The sequence below is a fragment of the Homo sapiens genome, chromosome 6 (assembly GCF_000001405.40).
Source record: "Homo sapiens chromosome 6, GRCh38.p14 Primary Assembly".
Lineage (NCBI taxonomy): Eukaryota > Metazoa > Chordata > Mammalia > Primates > Hominidae > Homo > Homo sapiens.
The window spans coordinates 7,134,617-7,151,081 of record NC_000006.12 but is presented as its reverse complement, the minus strand read 5'-3'; the positions used below and the strand labels follow the sequence as shown (position 1 = coordinate 7,151,081).

At 43.5% G+C, this 16,465-nt stretch overlaps 1 protein-coding gene across 4 annotated transcripts in view, besides 7 other annotated features; it reads right to left on the bottom strand.

Moving 5' to 3' along the window:
- The window catches only part of RREB1 (ras responsive element binding protein 1), a 144,238-nt gene that overhangs the window by 100,899 nt on the left and 26,874 nt on the right, over positions 1-16,465 (bottom strand). The window lies entirely within an intron of this gene.
- Positions 120-285: a silencer, noted in NCBI's record as "fragment chr6:7151030-7151195 (GRCh37/hg19 assembly coordinates)". NCBI's record gives its function as "represses an EF-1alpha promoter that drives an FKBP-Casp9 reporter gene in an ReSE screen in phorbol 12-myristate 13-acetate-treated (for megakaryocytic differentiation) K562 erythroleukemia cells {active_cell/tissue: K562(+PMA)}" and the evidence as "EXISTENCE:reporter gene assay evidence [ECO:0000049][PMID:32094911]".
- Positions 4,485-4,634: an enhancer, noted in NCBI's record as "active region_23938". NCBI's record gives its function as "activates an Ori minimal core promoter by ATAC-STARR-seq in GM12878 lymphoblastoid cells {active_cell/tissue: GM12878}" and the evidence as "EXISTENCE:reporter gene assay evidence [ECO:0000049][PMID:35858748]".
- Positions 4,893-5,563: an enhancer, noted in NCBI's record as "H3K27ac-H3K4me1 hESC enhancer chr6:7145752-7146422 (GRCh37/hg19 assembly coordinates)". NCBI's record gives its function as "activates a minimal SCP1, AML or CMV promoter by ChIP-STARR-seq in primed H9 embryonic stem cells {active_cell/tissue: H9 hESC(primed)}" and the evidence as "EXISTENCE:reporter gene assay evidence [ECO:0000049][PMID:30033119]".
- Positions 9,580-9,709: an enhancer, noted in NCBI's record as "active region_23937". NCBI's record gives its function as "activates an Ori minimal core promoter by ATAC-STARR-seq in GM12878 lymphoblastoid cells {active_cell/tissue: GM12878}" and the evidence as "EXISTENCE:reporter gene assay evidence [ECO:0000049][PMID:35858748]".
- Positions 9,790-10,169: a silencer, noted in NCBI's record as "silent region_16886". NCBI's record gives its function as "represses an Ori minimal core promoter by ATAC-STARR-seq in GM12878 lymphoblastoid cells {active_cell/tissue: GM12878}" and the evidence as "EXISTENCE:reporter gene assay evidence [ECO:0000049][PMID:35858748]".
- Positions 10,180-10,707: an enhancer, noted in NCBI's record as "H3K27ac-H3K4me1 hESC enhancer chr6:7140608-7141135 (GRCh37/hg19 assembly coordinates)". NCBI's record gives its function as "activates a minimal SCP1, AML or CMV promoter by ChIP-STARR-seq in primed H9 embryonic stem cells {active_cell/tissue: H9 hESC(primed)}" and the evidence as "EXISTENCE:reporter gene assay evidence [ECO:0000049][PMID:30033119]".
- Positions 14,001-14,070: an enhancer, noted in NCBI's record as "active region_23936". NCBI's record gives its function as "activates an Ori minimal core promoter by ATAC-STARR-seq in GM12878 lymphoblastoid cells {active_cell/tissue: GM12878}" and the evidence as "EXISTENCE:reporter gene assay evidence [ECO:0000049][PMID:35858748]".

The following is a 16,465-nucleotide window of genomic DNA, read 5'->3' as shown; positions in this document are numbered from 1 at the left end:
GTATTAACTGAAAAAGCAGCTCCCTTCCCTCCTTCTCCATGTTCAGCCTCCAGCCGCACGGATGAGTTCTCTGTGCCTATGACTGATGCATGGAGGCTGATCTCCGGGCGGCCAGCAGCTGTTCAAATCCACGCCTGGATGCTTCGCTCACTGCACCTCCTGGCTCCACCACCCCAACCTCTCAACATGTGTCCTTGAGGCTCCGCCTACCCGGCGGATGTTACAAGCACACCATCTCAAATGCAGTCGCCATTGCAACAGGCTGCAGGTCGCTTATCACAAGGCACCGAAGACAAGCTCTTCCACCCTCGGCCACATCTCTCCTGCAAGCCCCCTCTGTGCCATCCCCACCCTGAAACAGTCAGCACACAGATCTGCCACTTGCTTCCTGGGAAGTCCTGGTTTTTCTTACTTTTCCATCTGCCCTGAGCATCTAACAGTCAGACAACGAATTCCTATTTCTGGTATGCAATTCAAGAAACAGAAATTAGTGGCATTTCCCTTGCCTGACAGTATGACCAATGTCTATACAACAAGAGAATACTTTCTACCTTCAGCATAGCAATCAGGAGGTATAGCTGCCATGCATATGCACAACTATAGTTTAATTTCAAAACTAATTAAAATTTCAAAGGGAACAATTTCTCTTATGGAGAAAAAACCCAAAACACACAAAAACCCTATCTGAATCAGGAACAGAAAAATTTATACCAACCTATATATGTTAACCATGCGTTACAGCAAACCTAAGTGCACAGAAGACTTAAATTCAGTAGTATTAAAAGCTAATATGACAATGTTTCAAATGTATCTATTAATCTGATTATTAAAACCTGGGTCCAGCAATGCTCCACACTTATGTATATAATATCAAACCACTTGAGAACCAGTAGCAGGTATTAGCAACTCTGGGGAGTTTTCAACCCTGGGATTTCCATGAAAATGTCCATTAATATATAACAAGGCCAAGAAAGAGTCTGGTATAGCACCATGGAGTGCTGAAGTGTTCTCTACCTATAAAATGGAACTACTGAGAAGAATAAAATTAGCAAATAACCTTGAAAAAAGAATAAAAAAAAAAAAAAACCAACCAGGCCAGGCGCAGTGGCCCACGCCTATAATCCCAGCACTTTGGGAGGCCGAGGTGTGTGGATCACCTGAGGTCAGGAGTTTGAGACCAGCCTGGCCAACATGGTGAAACCCCGTCTCTACTAAAAATACAAAAATTAGCCAGGCGTGGTGGTGCACACCTGTAATCCCAGCTACTCAGGAGGCTGAGGCAGGAGAATCGCTTGAACCTGGGAGGCGCCAGGTTGCAGTGAGCCGAGATTGCGCCACTGGACTCCAGCCTAGGCGACCAGAGCGAAACTCTGTCTCAACAAAAAACAAACAAAACCCAAAACCTAATAATTTCTGCTGAGTAAATACCTATTATTTTCCAAGTTAGGATTATTCCTCATGGCCAAAAAGCCATGTGGACACTATTCCAGGTGAGTTGTTCAATTCTGGGCACAGACATGAATTGTGGAAGAACACTGGGTAAAATGAAGACAAACTCATAAAAACAGAACAAGTCACCTCTCAAGTCCATTCCAGCTCTAAAATTCTATGGTTTTTTACAGTAAGTCTTAGTTGAGGGCACTCCTTCCTTCCAATTCACCATTTGATGGTTTAAATTTAACTTGAGACTTCCTTTAAGTTCAGTATTCCTTTTCTACAGAGACTATGTTTTCCAGGATGTCTATGACTTCTCTGGTACCTAGGGATCTTTGGTATCATTTGCTTTTAAAAATCCATGACATTTTATATATTCTTTTGGTGATAAATATGCACAATTCACATTAGGAATACAGACAAATGGCCAGGCGTGGTGGCTCACAACTGTAATTCCAGCACTTTGGGAGGCCAAGGCGGGCAGATCACCTGAGGTCAGGAGTTTGAGACCAGCCTGACCAATATGGTGAAACCCCGACTCTACTAAAAATACAAAAATTAGCTGGGTGTGGTAGCACGCGCCTCTAGTCCCAGCTACTCGGGAGGCTGAGACAGGAGAATTGCTTGAACCTGGGAGGCAGAGGTTGCAGTGAGCCGAAATCATGCCATTGCACTCCATTCTGGGCAACAGAGCAAGACTCTGTCTCAAAAAATAAAGGGAATACAGACAACCTGGTATGGTATTTGGACATCATCTGAATCTGTTAATGAATAACTTTTTTTCTACAAATCTGGGCAAAATATATAATATTTTAGTATATGTCTGACTATACTGAAAGGTTTATTCTAACACGTCATGTTAACTCATGAAGCAGCTGCACATCACTGAGGGGGAAGGAAAGTATTCAGAAATTAATTTTCCATATAAAACTCCTGGGTGTCAATCATTCTAAAGTATCTTTCAAACTTCCCTGTTTCCTTAAGCATAGCATGGTGAATCAATGTATGATTAATTCAGCCTTTTGTGGGGGTGACTCAGGATCATCACGATGAACAACTTACACTAGGCTGCCTCTGGAAACTAGTGACATACCCACCCCCCCCCACTTTACTTTTGCCACTGTACCACATGGCTCTGTTGGCCATGCTTGTTTTTCTCAATTGAAAATTTTCCTGAGATAATTGTGGATACACAGGCAGTTTTAAGAAATAACACAGAGGGCTCCTCTGTCCAGTCTGTGAAATTCCCCCAATGGGAATCCGCCATGCCGTTTGAATTCTTGTCTCATCCCCTAACATCTTTTCTGCTTGTTGTCAATGTGTCTCCTTCTGATGGCTTTTTTCCATCCCCAACATTGGCCTCAGAAATGTAGACTGGAAAATGTGAGACAAGGTGGCCAGGGCTGTATCTACAGTAAGAATAAATAGTGCTGAAGTGCAGGCCTAAAGGATCAATGGGAATCAAGGTAGGAGTGTTAGTACCAGGACTTCCTAACACCTTTGTGGCTTTGAAAACTTTATTTTACATACCTCTCCCCCCACGTATACCCTGCTGGCTCTCACTCACTCGCAAGCACATCGGCTGAATATTCTGGACCGAAGAATGCCAAATAAGCGACCTCTACATAAGCAATATACTACTTTTGAGTCAGCTAGCTAATCAACTGCTATATCCACAATGGTAATTGGCAATCCAGCAGTGTCCAGTGTCTTACTGTGAATACTGTCTACCAAGCCAATAATAGTTTGGAATGAATACACGCAGCTTAAAACACAAACTTTTTTTTTTTTTTCCTGAACTCACTGATGTTTCTGAGGAAGTTTTAACTTATCAATCACTGGTACTATGGAACAATTTAATTACCTAAGTTGAAGGAATGAAGTTATAAGAAAGATACAATGAAGAGCATTATGAATGTGCTTTAGAGACTTCAGTAAATAAGAAAACTGTCACTTTGTTCTCCTACTGCATTAGGAACTTCTCAAACAAAGAAGCTTGATGGAGGCAGACAGAGAGGGGCTTATCAGCTTAGGACACGGGATGGATGGTACAATTAACTGTCACACAGTCAGATATAATTCACTCTGATGAGGCCAGAGAAAGAAAACAAGGCAAAGAAAGGGCTCATCTTGTCCCTTTAGGTAATATCCAAATATCCCAGCACGGAAACCATCTTTTCCTCAAAGGTTATCTACACACGTGGCCTGAGAAGAAAGGCAGTAAGCCTTTGGGGAGTTGGGGAGAAGGAAGGAAAAGAAAACAGGAGGAGGAAAAAGGAAGACCTCTTTTCTGAACCACAAATGCCTCATGCTGCGCACTCCAAGCTGAAATGCAGTATGGTAGGTATTCTAAGGGGGAAAAAAACAACTACATTTCTTTCCTATTACTGATTCCTCTCTGCTTCACAGACCCAGCTCGGCCAAGTGGAAAACGGCTGCCATGAGTTCTGCAGAAGCTGCATGTCTTGCCCTGGCAGTCTGAAGGTGAAGCAGGCTTCAGAGGTGGACAGCTCAGGGAGAATCCAGAGAGGACACAGAAAAGCACACCAGGGCACCTTCTCCACGAGCCACCCACAGTCCATTTTACAGGCTAGAGCTCACCCTCTCAAAGTTAGAAGGTGCTCCAAAAACAGCTGGAGACTGGAGACCATAAACTACAAAATGCATGTGATGTTAAGATACTAAGAAAAGTACGGTTTCATTCTAAAACAGATGCACACAGAGAATTGTTTCTTCTGCCATGACAATACAGTTCCTTAGCTTTCAGAGTGCCAGACAAACTAGAATCAGAAACATCTTCCAACCAGTGTGAAGATGGAAGGAAAAAGAGCTCCTTTTCCTCTCCCTCCCCCACCACCTCCTCCCCACCAAAAAAAAAAAAAGAAAGAAGAAAGCCACGACACACCAGAAATAGCCTATGTGAGTCTGCTTCTAACAGCCAAAGGATGTGTGCACTATGAGCGGCTCCCTTGCAATGTGTGTTATAGTGAGCTCAAACATGACTATATATGGTATGTTTACGGAGTGAATGGACACAAACACGAAGCAGAACTTATATCAGACCCAAACTGGCTTTTAAAGAGCTCGGTTCCTCCACATTTATGGCCACAAGACGTCCCCTAAGTCAGAGCTAACTGTGGATACTTCCAGCAGTAATGTCTCCTGACTTGCTGGCACCGAGTTGCAGTGACTCCACCTCACTGCCCTCCCAGGCTGTCTGCGTGTGCACACACTTCCTTCTCCGTCCCCACCTCGCCTCCTCCCCTCCCATCTCCTGCTTTCCCCCTCTCAGGCCATCTACCCCCGGTCCCACAGAGACATAAATGCACATTCAAGAATGCTGCTGCTGAATGGGGCCTATGTTACATGACAGAGGGCATGGTAAGCGGGCCACAGACTGCTCTAGAAACAGATGGCAAGGCTGAGGCCCACAGCCGCTGCCTGCTTCTCACACAACAGGCTCCACAAAGTGTTTTATTCACATCCATGTTCTGCCTAGAAGGAAAGCCAGATACTGAAGTGTGTGTGTGTATCTGTGTGTGTGTGTTGGTGGGGGGAGTATAGTCTGAAGATGTATTAAAGTCCTGGGGGGCGGTGGGGAGACGGTGCGCAGAGCAGGAAGGAGAGGGATACGGAGAGGTGGCGTAGGGGGTAGGGAAAGAGAGAGAGAGAAAGAGAGAGGAAGGCACTGGCTTTAACAGTCTTGCCCAACCTGTTCTGCGGTATGTTCTGTTAACTCCTTTCTGGCAAATAGATGCAAACAGCAACCCCTTTCTTCCCTCTTCTTCTCCCCACAGGCATAGGGGCAGCTACAGGCAGAGAAAAGTCCCAAAGAAAAAGACGGGGCCCATTACTGGCTGAAATAAACCCATAATTTTGGTCATCTAGTATAAGACTTCCACTATCAGCTACTGGGGCTGACATTTCACTGGAAACTACCAACCTCACAGGCCCTCTCCATCTCCCAATTCTCCTCCTGACCCTGCAAAATAGGTTAATCGAGGTTAGGTCCTCTAAAATAGATACATGGAAATTAGGCTGAGCTAGGTCCAGTTTTCACGCACTTGAACAAAGCACTAAGGTGAGAAGGAAGCATCAAGTTCTTTTCTTCTTCTTCTTCGGTTGACATTAGGCATTTACAGGGTTAATAAGGGCAGCCTGAAGACCAGAAATTTACCTGCTTAGCAACAGAAGCATCAGCTAAGCTGTACTGGTTGTTTTGATACAGGAAAAGCAGTTTCTACCTGGTGAAAATTCCTGGTGATGTTTCAGTTGCCATTTTAAGCAACACACATACTAATCACAGGTAGAAGCCAGCAAGAAACTATGGGAAAAGGAGAAAAGTCCAAGGAGACTTTGCTCAGTTGAAAGGTCCAGGTCAAAACCAACCACCAAAACATGCGACCACACATGTAAACCTGCTCTGAAAATTACAACAGATCAGAGCTGAGAAAACTGCTCTTGGAAGCACTAACACACAAGCTCGTTTTCCCTCTAACTTGTTGTTTATGGCTGCTTTGTCTTCACATGGACCTTCAAGATTCTTCAGGTAGTGGAAAGAATGGGTGTCTTTTTTAATCATAAAAAGACAGATCTTCCCCTCTACACGGTGAGACGAAGAAGAAAGCATGACTCTCACAAAAGATTACACTTTCCCCCCTTAACTATGTTTGTATGTCGCAATTTTATAAAAAATGCAGATGTAACCCAGGGCCTTCATAACCTCGCTGAAGGACAACAAATAAATATATCTACTTCAAAATTCAACTACAGAAAGCTTCTTCATTTTCAACAAGTGACTGTTTCATTTTTGGAAGCTCCAGGATACCAAGGCACATAGAGTTGGTTGCTGTAAGATGTTTACTGCTGCCTTAACAGAAATGTATCTCCTTGGGAGAAGCAAGGCCTAAAAGCAGTTAGAACTGACAATTTGAACCAGTTGTTGAATATGTAAAGCACAGTAGAAAAAGATTAAAATATACTTCATTAACTAAAATACAAAGAAATAGAAATAATTTGTGAAAAAAAAAAAAGGAATAATGTCAATGTATACAACCAGAGAACACAGCACCTATATAATTACACAGGGCCAAAGAATGTCTATGTGAGAAAAACAAAACAGAAGTGAAAATCCTAACATTAATGCTATCACCTTTGGATAAGACCATGTTTCAAGAGCAGAAGAATGAGAAATTAAACAGTTACTTATAAATACTCTTCAATACCACATTGTAAAGTTTGGTTTTGACAGTTTCCCTTAAATTCAGTTTTAAAAATTAAGTTTCACATTATAATATAGTTGACAAATTAAAATTGTATATGTACAGTGTACAGGTGAGGTTTTGATACATGTATACATTGTGAAATGGTTAAATCAAGCTAACATATCTATAACCTCATATATTTATTTTTTGTTATGAGAACATTTAAGATCTTAAGTTCTAAACTGAAAACATTATTTGTGCATAAAGCTCAAAAAGAAAAAATATAATGACTTAGGAAATAATAAAACTTTCTAACTTCAACCCAATTTAAAGGAAAATTTGGAAGTCACATGTTTGAGAATATAAAAAAAAAAGTGTGCAAAACCAAGCCACAAAAACAATTCCCCCTTTAATAAAGTAAAATACTTGCACTTATTCAGGATCCCTAGACCAACAGTTTGAGCAAATTAAAACCTTATTTCTGAAACTTACATTTGAAAAAATGTAAGTTGGGTCAAAGAAATTCTAGTGTGGACAAAATGGTGGTATTTAAAGCAAAAATTTGGCCTATGCAAAAAAAAAAAAAAAAAAAGAAAGAAAAAAAGGCTGCAGTGATGCACACTGGTCGCCGGCAGAGTGGGCTGCAGAGGCCAGTTGTATCTAACAGTTGTGCTCAAAACAACAAATGGTGCATTCATAAACTGCAAAAGCAGAGGCTGTTCAGAGGCTGTAAAGTCTGCACCCGAATGATGAGCAGCCGACTTTGCTGTTGTTCCACAGAAAGGGAGTGAAAAAAAAGGACTGAATTCAGTTAGAAGCACAGGCTGTCACTTCAGCGGTGGCAAAACGGTCTAGATAAAGAGGCCCCAAGCACCATTTACTCTCTTCCAACAGGAGCTGGGTCTAATGATAATTGAGTCAACACCTCTACCTAAGATAATACTGCAAGAGCCAGTGTCGGGGGAAAGCCCAACTAGAAACCAGAACATGCACCTCCCCACACCCTTCTTGGTTTAAGAAAACATTCAGCACCACAAAACGCATAGTCTCAGACCAAGGGAGTGAACGACCATAGCCTGATTACCTGTGACACTGCCTCTCCATGCCCTTAACAAAAGAAACATCTGGTACCAGCTACTCAGCATCCCTGAAAACTGTCAGAGTTCCAACTTCTTAAAAAATTAATGAGCCGCATTTACACCTGCCAGTGCTGAAGGCCCATCAGGGCTAGCATAGGAACCACAATGCCTCACTTAATAGAAAACACTCGGGTTTGCAGCAAGCAAGCAAGCCAGCCAGCATCAGATGGGAGAATTTCCTTATGTATCATTTCCTAACCCTTTTAGCTGTATTTTCCCCAAAAATCCCAGTGGCTCAAATGTATTCATTTGTCTCAAGACAAGTTTCCAACACAAATGTAAAAGTGACCTGTTTCTAACGCAGTTTTGAAAGCTTTATTAGGGCTTTGTATTTGCATCGCCTGGGAAGCTTCCAATGCCCCAGCCACTGGTTCATGCTCCACCAGAACCTCCTGGAGAGGGGTCCCAGCATGTGTAGAAGAGAAAAGTTATCCCCCCATGAAGAATGAAGAATCACTATTAAGAGAAAAGCGACCACCAAAGGTGGTGCAGCAAAAGTGAGGTAAGTCTCAAAGTGGAAAGAGGGGGTGCCACGTAAAGTCACTGAACTCATTCTAGGGTCCTAGAGTGGCCGGTGCTGGGGTCCTCCCTGCCCGGCCTTGGGGCAGAAGTCAGTGCCCTGGCTTGGTAAGCTAGCCCCACGTGGCTCCGCCCATCACATGGCTGCAGAGGCGCCAGCTCATGAAGCGGGCCTGCTGGGGGTCAAGCCTGACCCCACGAACTGTCTCAGACTAAGGCAGGGCACACTCAGCAAGGCGCCTGGCAGCAGGCAACCTTTAGCCACCGGAACAGCCTGATGGTTACCAAACAGTGACCTGCTGCCCTCACCGGTGATGTACTTCCAGTACAGAACATCGAGAAACTGCGTCCTGGAGGGAGACTTGACACCGAGGGCAGGCGGGAGGACACAAGGGCGTCCAGCTTTGCGGGGGGACGCACCCGGTGGTGCCGAGGGCAGCGCAGCTGGGAAGGGCATGGGAGCCGGCTCTCGGAGGAGGGTGTAAAAGCGGAAGCCACGAGAACTGGCTGGGTTTTGTGTGGTCCTCCACCTCCATTCTCAGAAAATAGCCTTTTTTTTTTTTTTAAATTAAGACGGAGTTTCACTCTTGTTGCCCAGGCTGGAGTGCGGTGGCGCGATCTCGGCTCACTGCAACCTCCACCTCCCAAGTTCAAGCGATTCTCCTGCCTCAACCTCCTGAGTAGCTGGGATCACAGGCGCACGCCACCACGCCCAGCTAATTTTTGTATTTTTTTTAGTACAGACGGGGTTTCACCATGTTGGCCAGGCTGGTCTCGAACTCCTGACCTCAGATGATCCGCCTGCCTGGGCCTCCCAAATTGCTGGAATTACGAGCGTGAGCCTATGGGCGAGGGCCACCGCTCCCGGCCCAGAAAACGGCTCCTTTTAGAAAGGAGAGGCAATTATCCAGCCCTCTGCGGAAAGGGCCAGAAAGGCCCTGCTTCCTGGCCCGGCCACCCGGCTGCCCGTTCTCCTGGGCTCTGTCCTACACACGCCCCGCTCCTTCCAGGTTCACTTTGCCGCAGGCAAGTGTCTGCACCCCTCCTCCTCGTCAAAAAAGGCTTAAAGGAGCATTTTCTAGATACGTGGTTTTTCTTTTAAACAAAAGTTTTTGGAGCTACCCATCATGAAATACCCTGCTACATGTTTTTATTCTGAAATAGCCATCGGGGAAGCCAAATGTTTCAATGGGGACTTATTTGGGGAAATAATTACATAATGCGAGTGGGCATGCTCATGTCTATGCAAATCTTGTGAAAATTTAAAAGTGGTCACAGGCTAAATGCCCTCTAGCCAAAAAAGGCGGGGGGGCGGGCACGGGTTCGCTCCAAGCACACTCATCTTCTAATCTTTCCCTAAGAGGAATTTATTATTTTTAAGGAGCTGAGTTGCTAAAGGCATCTCTGAAGAGCTCCGGTTGTTCATTAGGTTGTGTCCCCAGCGGCCGTGCCCTTCGCAACTGAGGAAAGTGCGGCAAGATCCGCTGGAAGACGCGGCTCTACTCACGGGGGAACGCCAGCGCGAACGAACACCGAGCCCCGCCCCGCCCGGCCCCCGCCAGCCCGCCAGCCAATCGGCGCCCGCCGCCCTGACTGATGGCCTCGCTACCCGCTCACCGGACACCCACCGCGGGAGCCCTGGGGGCGGCCCGAGGGGGCCCCTGCGGCCGTGGAGCCCTGACGCGGGCAGTCGGCTGCCCGGTCCCAGCCTGAGGAGGGCACAGACAGACCCTCGAGGCCCTGGGAGGGCCGCCGGCCGCCTTCAGCTGTGCGAACACAACTCTACTCAGACCGTGTTCCCGAGGCACAATGGCTGCCCGCCTCTGAGGGAAGGCACCCGCAGTTTTCCCCTCGCCCCTCCCCAGAAACAGAACAGGGTGAAAAGGCCGTCCGGGGCGGGGCACGGGTCACCCACGCTGGCGCTCGGGGGCCAGCGCGCGCGAGCCACCACACGAAGCCTGGCGCGTGCAAGCCCACCTGCGAGCAGGACCAAGTCCACTTTCAAGTTTAGGGACACCACCCTAAGGAACAACTCTTGTTCTATCTTCGCAACTTTCCACTTCAGCCTTAGTCATGGGGCAGATCCCGAACCCGCTGTCCAGCTAAGGAGTAAAAGGCGAGGACCAGCGGCTTCAAACCTATTGGATCGGAGGGGCAGGAGGAGAATAATTTTTGTCAGTAATTTCTCAAATGTTCGTGTCCTTTTCTCTAAAAATAAGTACAGATCACATTCCTGTTTTCGAAAATGATAGGCAAAAGTTGGGGAACATTACATGATATCCAAAACACGTTTATTCTATATCTGTGTTTCAGATTTCATCTTTTAGCACTTGGTTTACGAGTTACTGTGCTAACTCCAGAAACGAAATAGATTATCAGAAGGCAATCCTGAAAAATCTTTGAGAAAAAGGATATCCCTATAAAATTCAAAGGAGTCTTAAGAATCACCACGATAAGTGTTGCATTACGTCTTTGATAGGGCCTTGAGAATCTTTCATCCTAGAAGGCAGCCCTGAATAAAACTTTTTTTAATTGAAAGAAAAAAAAACCATGTTTTAAAGTCACTTGCCTTGCCAATCAGCATCTGAACAAATGTTTTAGCTTCAGTACATACAAAAGCTGGCAAAGACGCCGTGTGGCAGGCCCACATAAAGAGATTTAAAGTGTGAAGCCTGATGGTCTTTCCCCTAAATTCTCAATAATTAAAAAAAATTCAAAATCCATGTGACCTTGGACTCTCTCATTTTCATCTGTCTCTTGCAGTACACTCTCTTTGCTAACCATTCAGCACACTGCAAGCTCTGATAAAAGTAGTTAATGTTTACTGAAACCTGCGCATGAACTGTACTAAACCTGATAGGAATGAAAAAGGCAAAGTTCTGTTAACAGCATCTATGTACAATAAAAAGGGTGGGTGGGGGAAAGGACCAAGAAGGAATTTTTTTTCTAGTCTGAATCTAAAAGTTCTGACTGATAAAATATAAATTTCCAAAGTCTAATGGAGTCAATATATATCACCAATTAAAAGATACTTTTAATCTAATCTTTTTGGAAAATTTTGAACACAAATATACCTGAATGATTTTACAGATTTTGTTTTTACAGAACTTAAATCTGTTTATATTTCATATTCTCATACTTTTTTTTGAAGGCCCAACTACCTGATCAATAACCAATTCAGTTATATTGTCGAATATTTATTTGTTTGAATAGCTACACATAGGTTATAGCAGAACTATTTTATGCAAAAATAAATTTAACATTTCAACAGTTATCTATTTTTCTCCCCTTAACTCCAAATGTAAAGTTAACTTCAGTCAAACCAGATCTTTAATTTTAACATTTACCATTACATTCACTCAAAGTATATTGAGTTAAACATCAGAACCTACTGATATTTTTAACTTACTGATACTGTCTTTTCCTCCCATTTCTACACTATCCCTTTTTCTCCAATTACCTCAGTTAAAATAAAATTTCAACTTACAAACATATACATACACACACTGTACCCAGAACAGGATGCTCTCAGGTGTCTGAAGCCAACTTTCTCTCTCCCCCATCCCCCCTCCCACCTTTGCTTAAAGGGCAGCAATAGAACCAGTCACCTTGGAAACAAACATCACTCAGTGTTTGCAGAACAAACAATGGTACCTTTTCAGCCAGTACCAGGCAGGCAGGGCAAGGGGCAGCCAAGCAATTCTGGGCCTTACAGGAGTGTTAACATATTGTATTCATTCAGTGCACGAAAAAGTAGTTCAGTACTAAAAGTGAAATGTTCTCACATGTGTGAACCTTTGGCTAGAAACCATACACAAAAGTGAGTAAGGTTTAGAGTCAAATAAGGCTACCTACTAAGTTAGAAAAAAAATCTTTTCATTATTTTTGTAATTGTTTTACGTAACTCATGAATAAGGTAAACTATACTCTTATTACGGAGGATTACCTTCTCCAGCAACTAGGAACAAGTTACTTTTAAAAACAAAACAAAAAAAGTGTCATCTAATTGCTCCCATGAAACAATCATATTCATGTCACTTTTGTCCCAATATGCTAGCATATATTGATTTTTAAATGTGTATACTGGTGGGTGCCTTAACCCACTTGTGAATTTCTGGTATTAATAAAGAAATACGAGTGTGAGCTAGAAAACTGTCAATTTTCAGAGCACTGTTTAAAACAGGGCCAAACAGATACATAAATCTATAAGAGCTTTGGATAACAACCACCACTTTGACCTTGGATTACAATGACTAAACTTTCATTTTCTGAAGACTTACAAAAGCTAATCATTTGGGGTAGCTCAAGTTTGAGGGGAGATTCTTTTGTTACTGTTTTTAAAAAGCTCAACTGGATAGTTAATTTAAAAAATATTCAAGTGTCTTTCAGATCCTTCAGAATGAAACTTCAAAATGTTCAACGTAACAGTTTCCTCCCTATTCTGGGTGTGTGCCGAAGTTTTCCTTCCCACCAATTAAGAGAGAAGGCTGGGCCCAACTGAATTATTTGGACAGGAGTTTGATGTCAGTTAAATACCACAGTAACTGGCATTTTCTATCACCTCCAGACTAAAGGACAAATGCCTAATTAACATGGACCAACATGCAGCTTAAACTGGAAAAGTGCCTGTCCTTTTTCTTTCTTTTCTTTTTTTCTGAAAGATTTAGGTCTTTAACATCCTTGAGTTAAAGTGCACAAAGGGTGTCTAATGCCATCTGACTGAGGTGTAAAAGTCTAATTAACTAATGCTTTTTGCAGTGATAGTAAATCAGTTAACATTATTAATCTTCCTGACTAGGCGTAAGTGAGTGAGGAGGGCTATTGAAAAGGAGCTAAACAGTTAGACTGGGTACCCTTGAAAAAGAAAAGGAACTCTGAAAGTGATGACTGATGATACTGAAAATAACTGAGATACTTAAAATCCAACCGCTCGCCGGGCCTACCACCAGGCAAGAGACTCTGAAAGCTGAGGCTGCAGCTCCAGGGCAGGGAGAGGAAGAGGAGGAGCTAGGCGGCCGTGAAATGACTCTCATCTCCCATCCTTCCCTCCCAGCATCACCGAGAGAGACACGACTCTCACGTGCTGGAGGCTTCCCTGCCTTAAATTAACGCTGTACCTTTCCAACTAATGTTTTCAGTAGACCAAACAAAAGTTTGGAGTAGTTTGAGCAAATGACTCCAACAGTGGAGCCAGTTAGGCTAGTTTCAATTCATCAACAACTATCTTAGCATCTGGCTTCTTAGTTTCATCTGCCTATGTGTTTGGCATCCAAAAATGCGCATGCATATCATACTCATGTTAGCAAACCATACTTTATCAAAGGCACTTCCTGCATGTAAACATCTGAAGAGAAAAGGCCAACAGCCAAACAATTTCTGTACCAGGGCTTGGTCTGTCTGTCCTGAGACAATGGCAGTAACTGCAGTCATGCCCTCCACCCTCTTTTCTGGATTCCAACCCTCTATTCCCTGCCTCCCTGTACCCGAGTCTATAAGGCAGCTCCTTCCCTGGGGGCTCAGGGGGGAAGGGAGAGGCATCAGGTCTAGCAGGCACTCTCTTGGTCCCTTGCCTGCTCCTGCCGCCTCCACCCAGGCCTTCCCAGGAAAGCCAGGGGACAGGACTGCTCAACTCCTGACAGCAGCTGGATGTGACGAATTAGCTCTGGGCTTTGGGGAGGGAACTCCCCATGTTGAGGCACTCCCGTCGCCAGATCCTGGGTGATGACCCTAAACCCAGCAAGCTTCCTCCATCTTCTCGAAGAACATCTCAAAGGAGCAGAGTTGGAAAGGGAAGTGAAAGAGGGAGGCCAGGTGCCGCGGTGGCTTCATCTTTTCCCCTCCTCAATATTTCTATCAAGTTTCTGTTTCACTGCCACCTCACATAAGGGGGATATGAACCTATGCATACCTTTTTAATAAAATTCTGAGGCAAACACAACACGTTTGGTTAACGACGGGCTTTCACAAGCCACCTGATAATAAAGAACTCTTGAAAACATCAGGCTTCAGAACTCAGTTCATCCTGAATAAAGATATTTATGCTTTATTTATTGTTTTAAATGTCTTTAGAGGCTGTTATTTGTTACTTTGCACACCATTATACCTAAAAATCACCTCTTCTGTTCAAAAAGGTAGGTTCAAGAGAAAACTTTTCATTTGTACTCCTAAGTTAATTATATATTCATGACCTCCTCCTCAAATAATGTCTCAGGCTGAGGGTAGTGGCTCATGCCTGTAATCCCAACATTTTGGGAAGCTGAGGATAGCGGGTTGCTGGAGCCCAGGAGTTCGAGACCGGCCTGGGCAACATAGCAAGACCTTATCTCTATTTAAAAATAAATAAATAAATAACATCTCTTACAAAATCCTGTTTACTATTATCTCCATATTGCCTAGCCATTGGGATCTGAAGCTACTGAAGGGGGGAGAAATCCTAGCCAATTAAACAATTCTTCAAAACAAACTAAAATCCTTAAGATATAATTTATAACTCATTTCAACTTTTTAAAATACGGGCATTACTGACATCTATAAACAAAGGCAAGAGAGAAGGTGCAGATGAAGTCCCTTTTCAAATCAAACTTCTACTCAAATCAGAATTGTAAAATTGTTTTAGAATTCTTAAAATAAAGTTTGGTGGGTTTTTTCCCCCAGAAACCTGTGTGAGGTCAGTTCCATCAAAAGTCATCATCACCCCTGATCACCTCCTCAGACATGGGAATCTCACTCAGCTGAGACCAACAGTTGGAGGAGGTACTGGTCCCATTGTACAGATGGTCACAGCCCTTTAATTGAGGTCAGCTGACTTGCTTAGTCATATGCCACCTCTCTCACCAGGTCCACCACAGGACAGTAATTTCTCCCTGCCTGTGTAGTAAAAATCCAGCTTTAGTATCAGCAGAAAATCCAAACAATGTGATCTTCCCAAATCCCATTCTTTCCTGTGCTCAGTTGATCCATACTTACTGTCTACCTGTTTTGCTAAGTCCCCTAGAGCAACTTGAAAGGGCTATAAAAGCTTGAAATAAAGATCATGTTAAATGTTTTTGAAAATATACAGATGGCACATAAAACTTAAACGGAATACCTGCTCCCAGTCCCAAGTCCTAGACAAAGGTAGAATACTAAGATGCTTTTCCTGTAGCTAACAAGCACATCAGAAATGAGGCAGTCACCTCCCCTGCCTGCATCTTGGAGAGTTAAGTGGTGCAAGAATGCTGTTGTTGTCAGAACCAGAAGAACAGCAATGAAAGAGGCATCAGCTGTGGAATAACCACAGCTAAGCCACTAGACCCCATTTGAAAAAAAGGAAAATGGAACCACAAGAGAATGAAGTCAGGTTTTTCAGAAAGGTCTCAATCTACCAGCTGGTCTTTTGGCTGCTGCCCTGCCTAAAAGCAGCTTTCAGAATGCTTAGAATTTCCCTGGATTTACGGTCCTAATCCTTTATATGGTACTTTCCAATAGCTTCCATCCTTACAAAGGTTTTTGTTTACGTTTACTGATTAAAAAGAAAGAAAATGCTGCCCATGGGTATCATTGTGTCACCTCCTAAGAAGGCACAAGGAAGATAATTCTACCCATTTTAGAGATGGAAAAACCAAGGTGTGAAGTATATCTTTTTCTGTTTTAATCATAATCAAGGTTGGGCTTGCATTCAGGACCTTACGTTAGTCTCCTAGCTAACAAACCCAGTCCTCTCTCTAATAGATCACAGTAGATTAATTAAAAGGGCCAAGGGAGAGTCATTAAGTATGTCCAAATGTTTCTTACAATCTGGCTGATTGCATTCTCTTTCCCAATAGAATTCTTTGAAATGATGAGGAAAATGAGGTGATATCAAGGGCTGCTCTGGAAACCGTTCAGTGTATGAACAGGTGGAAGAAAATATATCTTCCTAACTTGTCATACAGTGGCGTTTAGCTCTAGTTACAGAACTCCACTTGCGGTTCAGAACTAGTCTAATCGTTATTTTCCTGACATTAGACTTTAGGGTTACATATGCAGGATCTGTCTTCCTCTAGGGCAGGGGCCCTCCAGGGAGCTATTTCAAGGGATCCACTTATTCATTTGCTCATCAAGCATCTAGAAATCAATTAAATTTACACATATATGTACAATTATTTTGCAAGTATATGAAAATGCTGCTGTATTTAATAAAGATAAGTG